The 21,120-nt window shown below is 36.3% G+C and overlaps 1 protein-coding gene across 10 annotated transcripts in view; it reads right to left on the reverse strand.

Moving 5' to 3' along the window:
• The window catches only part of SLCO6A1 (solute carrier organic anion transporter family member 6A1), a 127,228-nt gene that overhangs the window by 56,639 nt on the left and 49,469 nt on the right, over nt 1–21,120 (reverse strand). For 8 of the 10 annotated variants that reach the window (XM_011543148.3, XM_011543147.3, XM_047416703.1 and 5 more), the window contains one exon: nt 10,205–10,349. The exons of the other annotated variants lie outside the window; for them this stretch is intronic. In XM_011543148.3, the coding sequence (XP_011541450.1) occupies nt 10,205–10,349 (145 nt within the window). The remainder of the gene's footprint in view (nt 1–10,204; nt 10,350–21,120) is intronic. 10 annotated transcript variants of the gene reach the window in all.

Genomic DNA, 21,120 nt, shown 5'->3' on the forward strand with positions numbered 1-21,120 from the left:
AACAAAAAGTCACCCTTACAGATAACAAGGTAGGAAATCTTCATAACAACAAGAATAAAGAAAAAAATTGTATAAGCTGCTAGAGGACATATTACTTTTATTTTACATTCAGGGATACATATGCAGGTTAGTTATATAGGTAAACTTGTGTCACAAGGGTTTGTTATACAGATTATCTCATTACCCAGGTAAAAAGCTTAGTACCTGATAGTTATTTTTTCTGATCCTCTCCATCCTACCACCCTCCACCCTCAGGTAGGCTCCAGTGTCTGTTGTTCTCTTTGCATCTATAGGTTCTTATTTAGCTTCCATGTCTTTGCTATTGTGAATAGTGCTGCGATGAACATATGCATGCATGTGTCTTTGTATAGAAAAATTTATATTCCTCTGGGTATATATCCAGTAATGAGATTGCTGCATCACATGGTAGTTTTGCCTTTAGCTCTTTGAGGAATCACCACACTGCTTTCCACAATGGCTGAACTAATTTACACTCCCACCAGCAGTGTATAAGCATTCTCTTTTCTCTGCAACCTCGCCAGCACTTGTTATTTTTTGACTTTTTAGTAATAGCCATTCTGAATAGTGTGAGATGGTATCTCGTGGTATTGATTTGCATTTCTCTAATGATAAGTGATACTGAGGTTTTTTCATATGACTGTTGGCCACATGTCTTCTTTTGAGAGGTGTCTGTTTAAGTCCTATGCCCACTTTATTATGGGGCTTTCTTTTTCTTCTAAGTTTAAGCTCCTTATAAATGCTTAAGCTCCTTATAAATGCTGGATTTTAGACCTTTGTCAGATGCTTACCTTGGAAATATTTTCTCCCATTCTGTAGATTGTCTAGTTTACTCTGTTGATAGTTTCTTTTGCTGTGCAGAAGCTCTTAAGTTTAATTAGATCCCATTTGTAAACTTTTACTTTTGTTGCAATGGCTTTTGGAGTCTACGTCCTAAAATCTTTGCCAGTTCCTATGTGCAGAATGGTATTCCCTAGGTTTTCTTCTAGGGTTTTTATAGTTTTGGGTTTTACATTTAAGTCTTTAATCCATCTCAAGTTGATTTTTGTATATGGTATAAAGAGAGAGTCCAGTTTCAACCTTCTGCATACGGCTTGCCAGTCATACCAGCACCATTTACTGAATAGGGAATCCTTTCCTCATTGCTTGTTTTAGTCAGGTTTGTTGAAGATCAGATGGTTGTAGGTGTGTGGCCTTACTTCTGGGCTGTCTATTCTGTTCCATTGGTCTATGTGTCTGTTTTTGTACCAGTATGATGCTGTTTTGGTTACTGTAGCCCCGTAGTATAGTCTGAAGTTGGGTAATGTGATGCCTCCAGCTTTGTTCTTTTTGCTTAGGATTGTCTTGGCTATTCGAGCTCTTTTTTGGATCCATATGAATTTTAAAATAGTTTTTATCTAGTTCTGTGAAGAATTGCATTGGTAGTTTAATAGGAATAGCACTGAATCTGTAAACTGCTTTGGGCAGTGTGGCCATTTTAAAGATATTGATTCTTCCTATTCATAAGCATGGAGTGTTTTCCCATTTGTTTGTGTCATCTCTTATTTCTTTGAGCAGTGTTTTGTAATTTATTGTAAAGATCTGTAAATTCCCGGGTTAGCTGCATTCCTAGGTATTTAAATCTTTTTGTGGAAACTGTGAATAGAATTGCATTTCTAATTTGGCTCTCAGCTGGCTGTTGTTGGTGTATAGAAATATTATTGATTTTTGTATGTTGATTTTGTATCCAGAAACTTTGCTGATGGCTGTTTCTCAGCTTAAGGAGCTTTTGGGCCAAGACTATGGGGTTTTCTAGATATAGAATCATGTTGTTTGCAAACAGGGATAGTTTGGCTTCCTCTCTTTTTATGTAGATGCCCTTCATTTCTTTCTCTTGTCTGATTGTTCTGGGCTGGACTTCTAATATTATGTTGAATAGGAATGGTGAGAGGGGGCATCCTTGTTCTGGTTTTCAAGGGGAATGCTTCCAGCTTTTCCCCATTCAGTATAATGTTGGCTGTGGGTTTGTCATAGATGGCTCTTATTATTTTTAGGTATGTTCCTTCAGTACCTAGTTTGTTGAGAGTTTTTAACATGAAGGGATGTTGAATTTTATTGAAAGTCATTTCTTCATCTATTCAGATGATCATGTGGTTTTCACTTTAGTTCTATTTATGTGATAAATCATGTTTATTGACGTGTGTATGTTTAACCAATCTTGCATTACAGGGATAAAACCTACTTGATCATGGTGGATTAGCTTTTGATGTACTGCTGGATTTATTTGCTAGTATGTATTGAAGATTTTTGCATGTATGTCCATCAAGGATATTGGCCTGAATTTTTGTTTTTTTGTTGGTCTCTTCCAGGTTTTGGTATCAGGATGATTCTGGCCTCATAGAATGAGATGGGCAGGAGTCTCCCCTCCTCAATTTGTTGGAATAGTTTTAGTAGTAATGACACCAGCTCTTCTTTGTACATTTGGTAGAGTTTGACTGTGAATCCATCTAATCCTGGGCTTTTTTTGGTTTGTAGGCTATTTATTGCTATTTCAGTTTTGGAGCTCATTATTAGTCTGTTCAGGAATTTAATTTCTTCCTAGATCAGTCTTGAGAGGCTTTATGTGTCCAGGAATTTATTCATTTTTTCTAGATTTTCTAGTTCATGTTTGTAAAGGTGCTCATAGTAGTCTCTGATTGTTATTTGTGTTTCTGTGGGGTCAGTGGTAATATCCTCCTTATCATTTCTAATTGTGTTTATTTGGATCTTCTCTCTTATTAATTTTTCAAAAAACCAACTCTTGGATTCATTGTTCCTTTGAATGTTTTTTTGTGTCTCCATCCCCTTCAGTTCAGCTCTGATTTTGGTTATTTCTTTTCCTCCTCTAGCTTTAGAATTGGTTTGCTGTTGCTTCTCTAGTTCTTTTTGTTGTGATGTTAGTTTTTAAATTGGGGTTTTTCTAACTTTTTGATGTGAGCATGTGGTGCTATACATTTCCCTCTTCATACTGCCTTAGCTATATCCCAGAGATTCTGGTGTTTTGTATCTCTGTTCTCATTCTGTCTTAATTTCATTACTTACCCAAAAGTCATTCAGGGTGGGTCATTTAATTTCCACTTAATTGTATGGTTCTGAGCAATTTAATTAGTCTTGATTTCTATTTTTATTGTGCTGGGGTCCAAGAGAGTGGTTGGTATGATTTCAGTTCTTTTACATTTTCTGAGGATTGTTATATATCTGATTTTGTGGTTGATTTTAGAGTATGTGCCATGTGGCAATGAGAAGAATGTATATTCTGTTGTTTTTTTGGTGAAGAGGTCTGTTGATGCCTCTCAGGTCTATTTGGTCTAGCATTGAGTTCAGGTCCTGAACATCTTTGTTAATTTTCTGCCTTGACAACCTTTCTAACACTTTCGGTGAGGTGTTGAAGTCTTCCACTATTAATTGGTGGGGGTCTAAGGCTCTTTGAAGGTCTCTAAGAATTTAATTTATAAATCTGGTTGTTTCTGTGTTGAATGCAGATATATTTAGGATAGTTAGGTCTTCTTGTTGAATTGAACCTTTCACCATTATGTAAAGCCCCTCTTTGTTTTTTACAATATTTGTTTATTTAAAGTCTGAAATTAGAATTGCAACCCCTTCAGTTTTTCATTCATTTTCCCCTTCAGTTTCCATTCGCTTGGTAGATTTTTCTTCATCTATTTTTGAGTCTATTGGTGTCATTGTATGTGAGACACATTTCTTGAAGACAGCATATCATTCGGTCTTGCTTTTCTATTCAGCTTGCCACTCTGTCTTTTCATTGGGGCATTTAACCCATTTACATTCAAGGTTACTATTGCTATATGTGGATTTGATCCTGTCATCATGTTGTTAGCTGTTTATTATGCTGACTTGTTTGTGTGATTGCTTTATAGTGTCAATGGTTTGCATACTTAAGTGCATTTTTGTAGTGGCTGGTAATGGTCTTTCCTTTCCATATTTAGTGCTTCTTTCAGGAGCTCTTGTAAGGCAGGTCTGGTGGTAAAAAATTCCCTCATAATTTTCTTGTTTGAAAATGATTTTATTTCTACTTCACTTATGAAGCTTAGTTTGGCTGGCTATGAATTTGATTGGAATTTCTTTTCTTTTAGAATGTTGAATATAGGCTCCCAGTCTCTTCTGGCTTGTAGGGTTTCTGCTGAGAAGTCTGCTGTTTCTGCTAAGAGGTCTAGCTTGTAGGGTTCCTGCTGATAGGTCTTCTAATAAGCTTTCCTTTGTAGATGGCCTGTCCTTTCTCTCTAGCTGCCTTTGACATTGTTTTTTCATTTTGAAGTTGGAGAATCCTATGATTATGTCTTAGGGATGATGTTTTTGTGAAGCACTTTGTGAGAGTTTCCTGCATTTTCTAAATTTGAATGTTGTCCTCTCTACATAGGTTGTGAAAGTTTTCATAGATGATATCCTGAAATATGTTTTCTAAGTTGCTTCCATCCTCCCTATCTCTTTCAGGGATGATAGTGAATTGTAGATTTGGTCTCTTTACATAATTGCATATTTTTGTTCATTTTGTTTGTTCCTTTTTATTCTTTTCTCTTTCATGTTTTCTTTCTGTCTTGTTTCAGAAACCCAATCTTCAAGCTCTGAGATTATTTCTTCAGCTTGATCTATCCTGCTGTTAATACTTGTGATTGCATTATGAAATTCTCATAGTGTGTTTTTATCTCTATCAAGTCAGTTATGTTCTTTTCTATACTGGCTACTTTATCTTCCAGATCCCGTATACTTTGTGATTCCTAGCTTCCTTAGAATGAGTTTCAACGTTCCCCTGAATCTTGATTTTTGTTCCTATCCATATTCTGAATTCTATTTCAGTCACTTCAGCCATCTAAGACTGGTTAAGGACCCTTGCTGGAGAACTAGTGAGGTTGTTTGAAGGAAAGAAGACCTTATGGCCTTTTGAATTGTCAGAGTTCTCGTGCTGCTTTTTTATCTTTGTGGGCTGATGCTCCTTTAATCCTTGAAGTTCCTGTCCTTTGGATTTTTTTTTCTTTTATCCTATTTGATGACCTTGAGGGTTTGCTTGTTGTATAAGGTGGGTTCATTCAACTGGCTTTGTTTCTGGAAGATTTTAGAAGGCAAAGGCTCAGCTCAGGACTCCTGGACTGTGTGGCCTAACTCCTGGGGACCAGTATTGGGCACTGGCTTTGTTCTCTGGCTCCTCAAGGTAGAAACATGCTGTGCTGGAGGGGTCAAGGTGCTCCTGGACTGCTGGTCACAACACTCCAATGGACGGTGGCAGCCAAAGCACTTTGTAGGGCAGTGGCAATGGGATCCATCCTGTTTGCACATACCAGCAACAGCAGCAGCGGCAGCATGGCAGAGTGCATGCTTTTTGGCTGTGGCAGGGTGCTGGCAGGTACTGGGGTGCTAGCCTCCATGGGGGAGCTAGTGAGGTTTTTTGAAGGAAAAAAGACATTCCAGCTTTTTGAGTTGTCGTAGTTCTTGTGTTCTTTAAAGGATACAATATTTAAAATTATTATAGTTGCACAAGCTTCTCTTTTGGTTAGCATTTGTATCTTTCGTCTATCCTTTCACTTTCAACCTTTTCATGTCCCCATATTTAAGGAGTGCCTCTTGTTAGTAACATATATTGAAATTTTTTTCCCAATCTGACATTCTTTAGACTATTTATATTTAACATAACTACTAATATATTTATTGGGTGAAAACTTTCTGTATATCTTGCAAGCAGAAGCACTGACTGCTCTTTGTTCTCCACTATCTTTTCAAGGATATTTATACGATGAGTAGCCTTGAATAATAAGGATAGTATTTCCACGTAGAGCACAGGACAACTTTGCTTAGAATTTTGGAAGACAGAGAGAGTGTCCCCTCTGGACACTCTTTATCAAGTATAATGCCTCCCTCTGGAGCCAAAGACAAGCATAATTACTGCCCACTATAAAAGACCTGGGTTCCCTAACCTCAAGATTTCTTTCATGTAATGCAACTCATTGTGTGTACAGATATCACCTGGCCTCTTTTCACATCACCCTTTGGAAACTGGAGCTCAGAAACCTAGCAGGAACTCTCATTACTGCTATTGCTGTGAGTCATAAACTTTATTTCATCTCTGACCAAGAAGTTTGGTGTCTTCTTCCAGCACACATGAAACTAAGTTAGGTTAACTTGTTAGCTTACAGATAGGATGAAATTCAAACCCATTACAGATCTGAGCACTCTTGGCAACAACGATGGGATGCTAACAGAGACGTGGCTTTCTGTAGCTGCAAGCTGAAGTAGGTTTAAAGACAGCTCCATAGAAAGTACCATAGGTCTTATCAACTCTTCTCTAGGCAAGCAAACTTCCTTGTCAATCTGGCCATCAGCTTCAGGACTGCCCCACTGTAAAAACTATTACTATTTTTTTTTCTTATTAGACAGAAGATTCCTTCTGCTTTCAAGTTACAGATAACAGTTCCAGCAATGTGCAATTACCCTGAGTGTAAAAAGAAAAAAAATTATAGCCACTATGAGCAGAGACCAGGTGAATTATCAGAATTTTAGTTCATTTTCTTGGGACATGATAAAGTGCAGTACATAATTTCTTGTTTAAACAAAATAGCCAATAGCTGGGTTGACTGGAGGTCCAGCTCCTCTTCCAGTCTATCATGCCAATCTTGGATCCATTTTAAGACAATAAAAGACCTCAGAGTTTTTTGTAGTGTGTCCTGACTGCTATAAAGTAGCTTTGCTGTGACCCTCTTAGGAAGATTTTCCTAAGACAAATAAAATTCCTGTGTGAAATCATAGATGAGGCATTGAATAGATTTTGAACTCTCATCATTCCTGAAAAGAATGTGAAGTAAGCTTGTGGGTGGTACTCTGGACAATTTCAATGCATGTTTGTTGTAGCCTCAATATACTGATGCTGTAGCTTCAATTTCTAAATATATAATTAGTATTTATATTCTATAATATTATACTATGACTGCTGTTAAACTCCAGAAGTGATAATGGAACACATGAATTGTTACCCAACGTGCCTCCCTGTTTCCTCTCACACGGTCTAACAGAAACAATGTAGAATCCAAGAAGCAGAAAGGAAAGTCCTAGCTTTGAGTATATAAGGTAGCAGGGGTACTAAGAAATGCAGTATTTCCATTCAACACACATCATGGCCAGTGTAAAAGGTTATCAGGACCAGGTGTGGTGGCTCACGCCTTTAATCCCAGCACTTTGGGAGGCCAAGGCGGGCAGATCACCTGATGTCGGGAGTTCGCGACCTGCCTGAGCAACATGGAGAAACCCCGTCTCTACTAAAAAATACAAAATTAGCTGGGCGTGGTGGTGCATGCCTATAATCCCAGCTACTCGGAAGGCTGAGGCAGGAGAATCGCTTGAACCTGGGAGGTGGAGGTTGTGGTGAGCCTAGATTACATCATTGCACCCCAGCCTGGGCAACAAGAGTGAAACTCCATCTCAAAAAAAAAAAAAAAAGTTATCAGGAGCTGGAGCTGGAGGTTTATAGTGGATTGATTATTGTTGATTTCAGTTATTGCTCTTATAACCCTGGCTGTTCCAGGCATTGTGATGTAACCAAATCTACTACACAGACTGATTACATTTAATATACTGTATTAGACTTTGCCAAGACATTCTTTTCTATCCCATTGGCACCCAAGGACAAAGACTAATTCTCATTCATGCTTAAAAACCACAAATATACCTTTACAGTAAGAATACTGTAATATTCTTTAGTTATTCCTCAGGAGTACCTAAAGCTCTGCCATTGGCTACAAGAAGGTGCATAAGAATTTAGTGTGATTCCCATTACCTTCTGATGCCTAAACCTTTCACTGATAGATGATATGCAGTTGGCTAGAGACTCTCAAGCCTTAGACTCAATGGCTCTAACTTTGGTATTATCACACCTTCACCTGCAAGGGTAACTGATAAATCCCAACAAAACCCAAAGACTGCACATCAAGTTTCTGGGGGACTATGCAAATGGATTCACAATGCTCAATTACTCTGGAAGTCAAGCAAAAAAATGTCTCATTTCCCTCCAACCAAAAGGGAACCTAATGTCACTTTGGACTCTGGGTATCAGAGATGGTAGATGTCTGTCTTGGGCATTCTTTTATAACAGCTAACTTACAGGGAGTGTAATTCGCAAACCTACATTGAAGCTGATAAGCAAGCTGTGGCATACTCTCTTCTTTGAGCTGCTAGAAATTTAATGATCCCCATGAGCTACAAATCTCCATGACTGATAATTTCATGGACTGCAGCCTCTAGATAAAAGATATAGGCTCCATTCAGAAACACCTGCTGTTGTATAACACTCACTGACTCCCTAAAACAGCTACCATTTGAAAAGCAACTACTAGCTTACACTGCCATCTTGTCAAAACCAAAGTCCTAACTTACAGCAATCTTTTGACTTTGTGAACTTATATTCTCATTTTGGGATGAACTAAACCAGCCTCATAACTATTTGACAAGCCTTACTTGTCAAATGGAAATGATAGATTCAAGAACATAGGGGTGGTCATAAAAGATCATCAAGTGTTTATATCACCACCAGCAGATCACATAGCTCTTAGAAGATTAGAAATTTCTCTAAAATGAAGTTACACTCAGTTACTCAAGGGAGCTTCCTGGCAAGATTAGTGGTATGCTATTCATACACAGCCTTACTGAAGCCATCTTTATGATGAGAGTAATACAATTAGAAACTATAGGGCAAAATTTGTCTGTGACTTGACTTGAAATAATCAATGACACCACCTCATTCCTGGAAAGCACTCTGCTCAGCCTCACTTACTGATCAACATTATTACAGATGATAAAATTACCCCAAATTTCATTCTTGCCAAGGTAGAATTTGCAATTGCTAATGTATTCTGTTATACTTTGATATCTCAGGCTAAGTGGAAAGGTCAGTAGAGAAACTTAAGGAGAAAGCCACCTGATTTTTTAAGATAGACCTTGATGGCTTAAGGATTTGTTCAGCTGGCTAGATCCAGGAGCTTGAGGGAGTCAATACTGCATGTAGCCTTACCCTGGTTCTTGGAATCCATTGATAATAGCCTTAATTAAATATAATAAGAAACAAATGGAATGAATTTACTCCTCACATTCTGCTGATTTGATTAATCAGAGTGCCCCAAACCTGGTGTGCTCATGAAAAAATTTGTCATTATGGCCATTGAAAGCTGATCTATTTTGGCTTTTTGGATAATTTGCAGTCAGACAAGCCTTTTATAAAAAATGTACTCCATAAAAGGTTTAGATTTATACTCAGGATTTCTGCACATCTTATTTGCTTTCTATTTTGCCCACATGCTTTTTGTTTTCTGTCATTCCTTTCTTTTTTTAATTAATTAAATGTTTCCTATTAATATAGTCTCTTACTACTACTACTTTATTGGTTATCCTCAAAGTTACTGGATGCATCCTTGACCTTTTACACCCTAAAATAAATCATTGCATTTACAACTTTCCTATTAATGCTAAAACTTTAAAACATTTAATTCCATTTGCAACCTCTTTTGGAGAGCCAATTCTCAATATCTCATAAAATTGTAAATGTACACAATAGCAATTTCCCTTCAATGTCTAAACTTACATCAACTTTTACAAATGTACAGAAGGAGATATCAACAAACCTTTTCATTACTACGCTGGTTGGAAGAGAGAAAAAGTGGGAGGCAACAACATATCCATTAATTGGATAATACATAAACAATAGTATACTCATAAAATAGGATCATAAAATAAAATAGCAAACTGAAATGCATTAAATAGATATAGATCAACACAAATCTAAAGAACATAATTTCTGATGAAAAAATAAGCTGCAGAAGAGTATATATAAAGTGATACATAAATTTTAGAAATAGGTGTATATAGACAAGCACATAAGCAGTAAAGATGTACAAACATGCATGGGAATGATTCACTCTGACTTCAGAAGAGTGATTACCTGTGAAAAGGAATGAAGATAAATGGGATAAAGGAGGAACACGGAAGTTTTTACAAGGATTTATATGTTAAAAATATTGACACTATGATGGCAAAGTGCTCATATTTGTAAAATCTGCACAAATCATATCTAGGTATATAATTCTTTATATTTTTATTTATTTCAAGTATTTCATAAGTACATACAATAAGACAGTGCAAAATTTTTGAAATGACAATAAGAAGGTAAATCTACCTGCAAGTGTAGTTGCCACAGTGGGTGTTAATATAAACTGATTTTCTAAATATATAGGCAAAAATTCAGAAGCTCCAATAATAACTAAATATTCTGTAGCTTTTGACAGAGCTAGGCATATGAGCACTGGATTCTTCATCAGAATCTGAAATAAAAATAAGTTATATATCTATTATTTTATTTTGTTAGATAAAGAGGAATAGACAGAACCAAATGCTAATGATCTGTCTACAAAAATTTACCATTCCCAATCTAAACTGAAAAGATAATTGATAGATAGATGATAGATAGATAGATAGATAGATCAGACAGATCCAAACAGCAATCTATGATTCACCAATATACAAATTCTATAAAAGAAAGTTTGTTTTTGACCATTTAAATTTTGATTTGCTCTTCATACTACTTTAATTTTTATTTATGGGCTTGGAATTTTTTTGTAAAGATTAGAGAAAAATAGGTAAATTATTAACCATATATCTAGAATTTCTCCTTACTTTTGCTTCTCTACTTATTTTTTTAAGCAAGTCTTTTTTATTCAACTAAAACACAAACAAAGAAAATTTAAGCAATACTCAAGAAAAACCAGTAGGACTGCAGAAAATGTTTTATATTTTACTCCTGGAAATCTACCTATACAAATAATTAAGTTATTTAAATTTTGCATTTTGGTAAACTTGTGGAACTTATTTAGAAGGCTAAGATGTGATGGTTTATTATTATCTAATATACTACACAGAGTAATTAAAAAGATAGTAAAATATTAACTTTCAAATTAGTTTCTGTATTTCCTTGGTTATGCGTATCTCACTGAAAATATATTTAGTGCTATTTTATGTTTACATATTTCTAATTTATTTAAATTTTCTTTTTCTGGCCCTAAACATCCCTGTTAGGTATGATCATAGTCTGCAAACTCAACTAGTTCAAATTCTCAGTGCTATCTGATTTTACATAGTGTGATTCTGCCATATTTATTCATTCCCATAATATTAAATACTTGTCTTGCCTTCAACTCTCTACCATCACAAACTACACTACATTAAACACCCCTGTGCATGTACTTTAAGGTCCAGTGATAGAGTGTCTCTAGAAGCATATATCCTAGAAAGGAATTCCTAGGGCATAAGGATTTAGCATACTTTATTCCACCATTTCTCCAGATTGTTCTCCAGAATGTATCAGGTTACACTAAAATGACTATACCACCACAATGATGGTAGTGTTTCATTTTCTTCATTTAGCTTGTACTTTCTAAAAGTTATCAAAGAAATATTTATGGTTTAGCATGCCCATCCAGAACTATGTCATTTCCACATAAAAAGGTCATTAAACTTGGAAAGGCTTTCTAATTGTCACAATGAAACAAATAATGCTACATGACTTCTGAGGTTGGGTCGTAAAATGAAAATATGACTTTTGCTGGGATCTTTCACAGTCTCAGAACTTTTGCCTTGGGACTCAGTCACCATGTTGTAAAAAAGCCCAAGAGAGATGCAGAGGATATGTATGGGTATTCTAGCAAACAGACAGTATCAAAAAACTATAGAGCAAACAAGCCTTCAGATGGTTCCATTCTCCAGACTTTGATCACTCTAGCTCAGGGATCCCCAGCCTCTATAGAAAGAGTAAGAGGCCAGTCCATTGCCTGTTAGGAAACAAGCCGTGCAGCAGGAGGTGAGTGGCAGGCGCGCTCTGCATCCTGTTAGATCAGCAGCGGCATTAAATTATCATAGGAGCACAAACCCTATTGTGAACTGCACATGTGAGGGATTTAGGTTGTGCGATCCCCATGAGAATCTAATACCTGTTTATCTGTCACTATCTCCCATCACCCCTAGATGGGATGGTCTAGTGGCAGGAAAACAAGCTTAGGGCTCCCACTGATTCTACTTTATGGTGAGTGTGTAATAATAATAGAAATAAAGTGCACAATAAATGCCATGAGCTTGAATCATCCTAAAACCAGCGCCTCCATCCCAGAAAAAATTTCTTCCACAAAACTGGTCCCTGGTGTCAAAATGTTGGGGACTGCTGCTCTAGTTGACCCCAAGTATAGTTGAGAGGGACAAGCCCTGTCCAAATTGCATTCTCATAAGCAAAATATATTTTATATTGTTTTAATCCACTAAGTTATGGGGTAGTTTATTATGCAGAAGTAGATAACATAATCACAAACACTTGGTATTATTAGCTGGCTTTCAAAATGTTGCATTGGTAACAAGTATAAAGTAGTACCACAATGCTTTGTTTCCTATTTCTCTAATTTCAAATCTAATTGAAACTTTCTTTACACAGTTCTTAGCTATTGGGATTCTTTTTGTGTGTATGAACTGGCTCTTTCTATCTCTGTTAGGCTTCCTGAAATTTGGGGGTAGATTTTCTAAAAATTGCTTGTGTATTCTAAACATTAATCACTTGGATTTAGATATCTGTCACCCATCTATTATTGTGGTCTACAGTTTCTTTCATAGAACAGAAATCCTTGACTTGATATATCTAATCCATAAAGTTCGAATTCATATTTAATATTATTGCAATCTTGTTTAACATTTTCCCACCTCTATACCACAGAGGTATTTCTTTCATTTTTACATTAACTGTGTTTTATCTAATCACATTTTATTAACCTGGAAATCACTTTTATACATAATAGGAGGTAGAAATCCATGGTCATTTTTCACAAATAGCCCAATTGGCTATCACATCTACTGAACAATTATCTTTTCAGTGACTCTTTTATTACATAGCAAGTTCTTATGTGTAACATTTAGTCTGTTGCTGAATTCTCAGTTCTCTTACATTGATCTATTAATCTATATCAAGGAAATGCTACACTGTTTTTACTACAGTGGTTTTTCTAGTGAGTCTTAATGGGAAATAGGTCCAGTGCTCTTTGTTTTAGGTATCCATTCCCTTATTCTGCCATACAAATTGTATAATCAGTTTCTCATTTTCTAAAAAAATAAAATTTTTGCCATAGTATTGATTATACTTGCATTGGATTCATAGATTATTTAAGAAAAAACTAACATACATGAATATTGTCATTTCAAACATTAACATGGTTTAGCTATCAATTTATCCCAGTCATCTTTAATAATGTTGCATAAAGTTTTAATTTTTTCATGAAGTTTTTTTAGCATCTCTGTTAAATAAATTTCTGAATTACAGTTTTGTGATTACTTTTTACTTTACTTTTACTTTATTAGCTAATTTTAAATGTAGATTATTCTTTTTATTTATTCTATAGTTTTTTTATTTTACCTTTATTTTTTATTTACTTATTTTATGTAGTAGATTCAAATATTGATTAACTAGAGAATTACAGCTTTTTTCATACGTTCTTCTAGCTCACAAATGTTATTTATTCATTTATTTTAAAATAATTATTGAGAACTGAATATTAAGCACATTTACCCTAAAGAGAGTTATAGCTATATCCTATGATTTTATATAAAAATATTGGTCTGTACTAGCTGCAACAGGCAGAATAAGAAACAAATCTAGTTTTTAATCTTGGCCCTGGAACTGATTTTTGGAGCATCAATAAGCAAATCACAGTTTCTCCATATCTCGTTTTTAGGAAGTATTATATTACACTAGGCAGATTTCTGGATTTAGAGTCAAATACAACACTTATTCTTATGCTCTTAGCCTCAATTAAGCCACAAGTAATGGATATGTGTGTTTGTGTGTGTATGTGTGTGCATAACCTATGTTGTTTTGGAAAAATTACTCATTCTTTTTAAATTACTGGTTCACTATCTGTAAACGAGAAACAATAATGTCTATTTTTTTGAGTGGTTATGATAATTGAATACATGTAATGGTTTAATACAACTTCTGGCACATAACAAGTGTCCAGTAAAAATAAACATTAATTTCTTAATTTATAAAATTAAAGGATTGCACGGGATTACGAGATTTGTTGTTTGCAAACTTTAGCGTGCCTTGAATTATCTACATGGTATAAAACACAGATCGCAGCTCCTATTCCAGATTTCTGAATCTGGAATGTGTTTAAGCTCTTTCAGATTAAAAGGAACAGACGCTGTTAATTCCACTGATGCAATTTATCATAAGGTTAAACATAAAAGTAAGAAAACGAATACACTTTCTCAGTAGCTAAACAATTCAGCATTCATAAAGAAATGAGACAACGGGTTGCGCGCAGTGGCTCATGCCTGTATTCCCAGCACTTTGGGAGGCCGAGGTGGGCGGCTCATGAGGTCAGGAGTTCGAGACCAGCCTGGCCAACATGGTGAAACCCCGTCTCTACTAAAAATACAAAAATTAGGCTGGGTGCAGTGGCTCACGCCTGTAATCCCAACACTTTGAGAGGTCAAGGCGGGTGGATCACAAGGTCAGGAGATCAAGACCATTCTGGCTAACATGGTGAAACCCTATCTCTACTAAAAACACAAAAAATTAGCCGGGCGTAGTGGCAGGCACCTGTTGTCCCAGCTACTCGGGAGGCTGAGGCAGGAGAATGGCGTGAACCTGGAAGGCGGAGCTTGCAATGAGCTGAGATGGCACCACTGCACTCCAAGCCTGGAGACAGAGCGAGACTCCATCTCAAAAAAAGACGGAAAAAAAGAAGTGAGACATCATTCAGAGTAAGTCTTAATTACTTCAAAGACCCAGATATTCAACTTACTTCTGTCTCCTTATTGTGTATTCATCTAGGTCTATTTTAGCTAGTGACTATTTTCTTCATATTTACTTCTCTTTCTCAATGGCCCTTTGTACTTTTATTTTTGCTATGTCAGTATATCAAAGTTGTGTTGTTTGAGTTTCCCACTCTTCCTCTTATTCATACTTTCCCCCAAAAGAGGAACTGACTAGATTAGTTAGTCACTCTTCAACAAGGTGTCCTTACTGGACATTGTTCTCAAATTAGGACATTTCCCAGGTTTAGGGGTAATCTAAAAATTGCTTTATTAAGCTCAAGTGCTGATGCCAAAAACTGTAACAGTTTTGGCTAAAACATTTGGATTACATTATACAGAGCATGGTAACCAATGCACAAGGAAATATTTCTGGGCACTGTATTCTGAAAGGGACTGTGAGAATAGCAAATATTAAGAATGCCATAGATTTCCTTCCAATAAAATACCCAGGATTTTCTGCATTTTAAAAAGTCTATTTCTTTTCTTAAAAATAAATATGACAGGGAAAGGTGAAAGCCAGATAGATATACAAATAAATATACAAAGAGTTTTATGCAGTGAACTCAGGCTCAATTCTGACAGATGTTGACATAAAAAGGGAGAAATCAGAATAGTGCTATACAGTAGCAGACAGTGCTATTCAACCATCCCTATCTCGCAGTACTGTGGCTATTAGGTAGCCCTTGTTAATCACAGAATTTATCTACAACCAAGGTTTTTTCCACACGAGAAGGGGTTCATTCTGGTCTAGGATTGCTTTCCAGTTAGGCTAGGTACTCCTACATGTGCTTACTTAGTAAGAGTCTGAAATAAGAGTAGGATCTGCAAATATATAAAGTATAAGGTATAAAGGCTGCAGAAAAGTAGTTTTAAGCTAAGGATAGTCCTCTAATAGAAGTCAAAAACAAATGATGAGGAGGAAATAAAGGCAGAGGAATGTTGCAAGGAGGAAAGGGTTTGTAAAATCTCAACCAGGGCTTATTGAAGGTGGGACATATAGTGTCCCAACTAATTTCTAGAATTTTATCTTTCAAGCATTGATTTACTCCCTACCCTAATCAAGTTTGCATGGCAGAAGACACTGATTCTGCCAGTAAAAGACCTTTCCCTAGAGACAAAAAGGATGAAAACATAAGTTAAAGAGGAGACCAATAAATCACTCTGTTTTACTTTGTGATTTAACTTCTTATTTGATCTGTTCTTGATTCTTTATGCTAAATAGCCATAATTAGCCATAGAAAATAAGTAATGGCTCATCAATCTGTCCATCAGAATAAAATATCTCCTCTAGAAAATGCTGCTAATTGCAAATTTAAATTTTTTTTTGCTAGCTCTGCTGGCATTTCACCTCTTTTATTTTCAGAAAAAACAGTTTATTTAGAGTCACACCTAGGAGATGATTCAGAGACTAAAACTACTACAAAATGTTCTGACCTAAATACAAGTGAGAACTATAATTTTGTTTTCTTTCATTTTGTTTTCAACTTTCATTTTAGGTTTGTTACATGGGTAAATTGCATGTCATAAGGGGGTGTGGTTTCAGAAAATTTTGTCACCCAGATAATCAGAATAATGGCCTCCAGCTACTTCCATGTTCCAGTGAAAACTAAAATTTCATTTTTGTATAGCAGCATAGTATTCCATGGTGTATATATACTACATTTTCTTTATCCATTTCACCACTAATGAGCATCTAGGTGGATTCCATGTATTTGCTATTGTGAATAGTACTGTTATGAACATATGCATGCATGTGTCTTTATGATAGAACAATTTATATTCCTTTGGGTTTATATCCAGTAATGGATTGCTGGGTCAAATGGTAGTTCTGTTTTAACTTCTTTGAGGAATTGCCACACTGCTTTCCACAATGGCTGAAGTGATTTACATTCCCTCCAGCGGTGTTTAAGAGTTCCTTTTCTCTGCAACCACACCAGCATCTGTTATTTTTCCACTTTTTAAAATAGCCATTTTTGCTGGTGTGCAATAACATCTTATTGTGGTTTTGATTTGAATTTCCCTAATAATGAGTGACACTGAGCATTTTTCATATGTTTTTTGGCCACATGTATGTTTTCTTTTGAAAAGACACTCTTGAAAAAGTGTCTGTTTATGTCCTTTGCCCATTTTATAGTGGGGTTGTTTGGGGTTGTTTTGCTTGCTGATTTGTTTGAGTTATTTATCGACCTTTGTCAGACGTATAGTTTGCAAATATTTTCTCCTATTCTGTAGGTTGTCTGTGTACTCTGTTGATAGTTTCTTTTGCTGTGCAGAACGCTTTAGTTTAATTAAGTCCCACTTGTCAATTTTTGTTTTTGTCATGATTGTTTTCAGAGTCTCCATCGTGTCTTTGCCTGGGCCAACATCCAGAATGGTATTTCCTAGATTGTCTTCTATGGTTTTTATACTTTAGATTTTACTTTTAAATATTTAATCCATCTTAAGTTGATTTTTGTATATGGTGAAAGGTAGGGGTCCAGTTTCAATTCCACATATAGCTAGCCAGTTATCCCAGCATCATTTATTGAATAGGGAGTAATTTGCCTATTGCTTGTTTTTGGTGGCTTTGTTGAAGATCAGATGGCTGTAGGTGTGCACCTTTATTTCTGTGTTCTCTATTCTGTTCCATTGGTCTCTGTGTCTGTTTATGTACCAGTACCATGCTGTTTTAGGAGCCTTGTAGTACATTTTGAAGTTGGGTAGTGGCATCCTCCAGCTTTGCTCTTTTTGCTTAGGATTGCTTTGGCTCTTGAGGGTTTTTGTTGTTGATGATGTTCCAAATGAATTCTAGAATGGTGGTTTTTACTAAGTCTGTGAAAAATGTCATTGGTAGTTCATTAGGATAGTATTAAATCTGTAAATAGCTTTGGGCAGAATGGCCATTTTAACTATATTGATTCTTCCTATTCATGAGTATGGAATATTTTTCCATTTGTTTGTGTTGTCTTTGATTTCTTTCAGCAGTGTTTTATAGTTCTCCTTGTACGGATCTTTGAACATCCTAGTTAGTTGTATTCCTATATTTTAGTCTTTTTGTGGCTATCGTGAATGGGATTGCATTCTTGATTTGGCTCTCAGCTTGGACATTATTGGTGTAGAGAAATGCTACTGATTTCTGTACATTGATTTTGTACCCTGAAACTTTGCTGAAGTTGTTTATGAAATCTGGGAGCCACTGGGAAGATACTATGGGGCTTTCTAGGTATAGTATTACATTGTCTGTAAAGAAAATAAGTTTGACTTCCTCTCTTCCTATTTGGATGTGCTTTCTTTCTCTTGCTCTGGCCAGGACTTCCAATACTATGTTGAACAGGAGTGGTGAGAGAGGGCATCCTTGTCTTGTTCCAGTTTTCAAAGGGGAATATTTCCAGCTTTTCCCCATTCAGTATGATGTTGGTTATGGGTTTGTAATAGATGACTCTTATTTTGAGGTATGTACCTTCGATGCCTAGTTTGTTGAAACGTTTTTTGTTTTTTGTTTTTGAGATGGAGACTCACTCTGTCGCCCAGGCTGGAGTGCAGTGGAGCGATCTCGGCTCACCGCAACCTCTGCCTCCTGGGTTCAAGTGATTCTTCTGCCTCAGCCTCCCAAGTGGCTGGGATTACAGGCACCCACCACTATGCCCTGCTAATTTTTTGTATTTTGGTAGAGACAGAGTTTCACCATGTTGGCCAGACCAGTCTCAAGCTCCTGACCTCGTGATTTGCCACCTCAGCCTCCCAGAGTGCTGGGATTACAGGTGTGAACCACCACGCCCGGCCCTGTTCAAAGTTTTTAACCAAAAAGGATATTGAATTTTATCAAAAGGATTTTCTGCATCTATCGAGATGATCATGTGCTTTTGTTTTTAGTTCTGTTTATGTGGTGAATCACATTTAGTGATTTGTGTATGTTGAACCAACCTTGCATCCCAGAAATAAAAGCCTACTCAATTGTGGTGGTTTAGTTTTTTGACATGCACCTGGATTCAGTTTGCTAGTATTTTTTTGAGAATGTTTGCATTTATGTTCATCAGGGATATTGGCCTGAAGCGTTCTTATTTCACTTGTGTCTCTGCCAGGTTTTGGTATCAGAATGACGTTGGCCTCATAGAACATGTTAAGGAGGAGTACCTCCCCCTTGATTTTTTTAGAATAGTTTCAGTAGGATTGGTTATCAGCTCTTCTTTATGTGTCTAGTAGAATTTGGCTGTGAATCTGTCTCATGCAGAGTCTTTTCTGGTTCGTTGGTCGTTTTTCTTATAATTGATTCAATTTTGGAACTCAATACTTGTCTGTTCAGGGTTTCAATTTCTTCCTGGTTCAATCTTAGAAGGTTGCATGCTTCCAGAAATTTATCCGTTTCTTCCAGATTTTCTAGTTTGCGTGCATAGTGGTGCTTGTAATAGTCTCTGAGGGTTTTTTGTATAACTGTGAGGTTAGTGGTAATTTCCCCTTTGTCATTTCTGATTATGTTTATTTGTATCTTGTCCCTTTTCTTCTTTATTTGTCTACCTAGTGGTCTATCAATCTTATTTATTCTTTCTAAGAACAAACGTTTCATTTCATTGATCTTTTTATGGTTTTTCTCATCTGCGTTTTGTTCAGTTCAGCTCCGATTTTGTTTCCTTCTTTTCTTCTGCTACCTTTGGAGTTGGTTTGCTCTTGTTTTTAGTTTCCCTAGGTGTGACGTTAGATTGTTAATTTGAGACATTTGTAACTTTTTTATGTGAGTGTTTAGCACTATAAACTTCCTTCTTAACAATGCTTTAGCTGTGTTCCAGAGATTCTGGTATGTTGTATCTTTGTTTTCATTACTTTCAAAGAATTTCTTGATTTCTGCCTTAATTTTATTGTTTACCCAAAAGTCACTCAGGAGCAGACTATTTAATTTCCATGTAATTGTATGGTTTTGAGAGATCTTCTTGATATCGATTTCTATTTTTATTGCACTGTTGTTTGAGAGTGCAGTTGGTATGATTTCATTTTATTTGAATTTGTTAAGAATTGCTTTATGGCTGATTGCGTGGTCAATTTTAGAGGATGTGCCATGTGCAGATGAGAAGAATGTATATTTTGTTTTGGTTAGATGGAGTGTTCCATAGATGACTGTTAGGTACATTTGGTCAAGTGTCAAGTTTAGGTCCCAAATATCTGTTAGTATTCTGCCTCAGTGATCTGTCCAATACTGTCAGTGGGGTGTTGAAGTCTCCCACTGTTATTGTGTAGTTATCTAAGTCTCTTCATAAGTCTCTAAGAACTTGTTTTATGAGTCTGGGCATTCCAGTGTTGGTTGCGTATATATTTAGGGGAGTTAGCTCTGCTTGTTGAGTTGAACCTTTGTCATTATATAATGCCCCCCTTTGTCCTTTTTGATTATTGTTGGTTTAAAGTTGGTTTCGTCTGAAATAAGAATAGCAATCCCTGCTCTTTATTGCTTTCCACTTGCTTGATAGATATTTCTCCATCCTTTTACTTTAAGCCTATGGGTGTCCTTGCATGCGAGATGGGTCTCTTGAAGATAGCATACAGTTAGGTCTTGCTTTATTATCCGACTCGACGGTCTGTGCCTTTTAAGTGGGAGCTATAACCCATTTCTGTTCAAGGTTAATATTCATATGTGTGGATTTGATCCTATCATTGTGTGGTTAGCTGGTTGTTATGTAGACTTGATTGTGTATTTGCTTTATAGTGTCAATAGTACTTGAGTGTGTTTTTGTGGTGGTCAGTAATGGTGTTTCATTTCCATGTTTAGCATCCCCTTAGGAACTTCTTATAAGGCAGGCTCGGTGGTAACAAATTCCCTTAGCATTTGCTTGTCTAAAAAGTATTTTATTTCTCTTTGGATTATGAAGCTTAGTTTGGTTGGATATGAAATTCTTGGTTCTAATTTCTTTTCTTTAAAATTCCAGAATATAGACCCCCAATCTCTTCTGGTTGTAGAGTTTCTGCTGACAGGTCTACCGTTAGCTTGATGGGGTTGACTTTGTAGGTGACCTTTCCCTTCACTCTAGCTGCCTTTAGTGTTTTTTACTTTGCATTGACCTTGGAAGATCTGATAACTATGTCTCTTGGGGATAGTCATCTTGTATAATATCTCACAAGGGTACTTTGAATTTCCTGATTTTTTTTTTTTGAGACAGAGTCTCGCTCTGTTGCCCAGGCTGGAGTGCAGTGGCACAATCTCGGCTCACTGCAAGCTCTGCCTCCCAGGTTCATGCCATTCTCCTGCCTAAGCCTCCCAAGTAGCTGAGACTACAGGCA

The sequence above is a fragment of the Homo sapiens genome, chromosome 5 (assembly GCF_000001405.40).
Source record: "Homo sapiens chromosome 5, GRCh38.p14 Primary Assembly".
NCBI classification, from domain to species: Eukaryota; Metazoa; Chordata; class Mammalia; order Primates; family Hominidae; genus Homo; species Homo sapiens.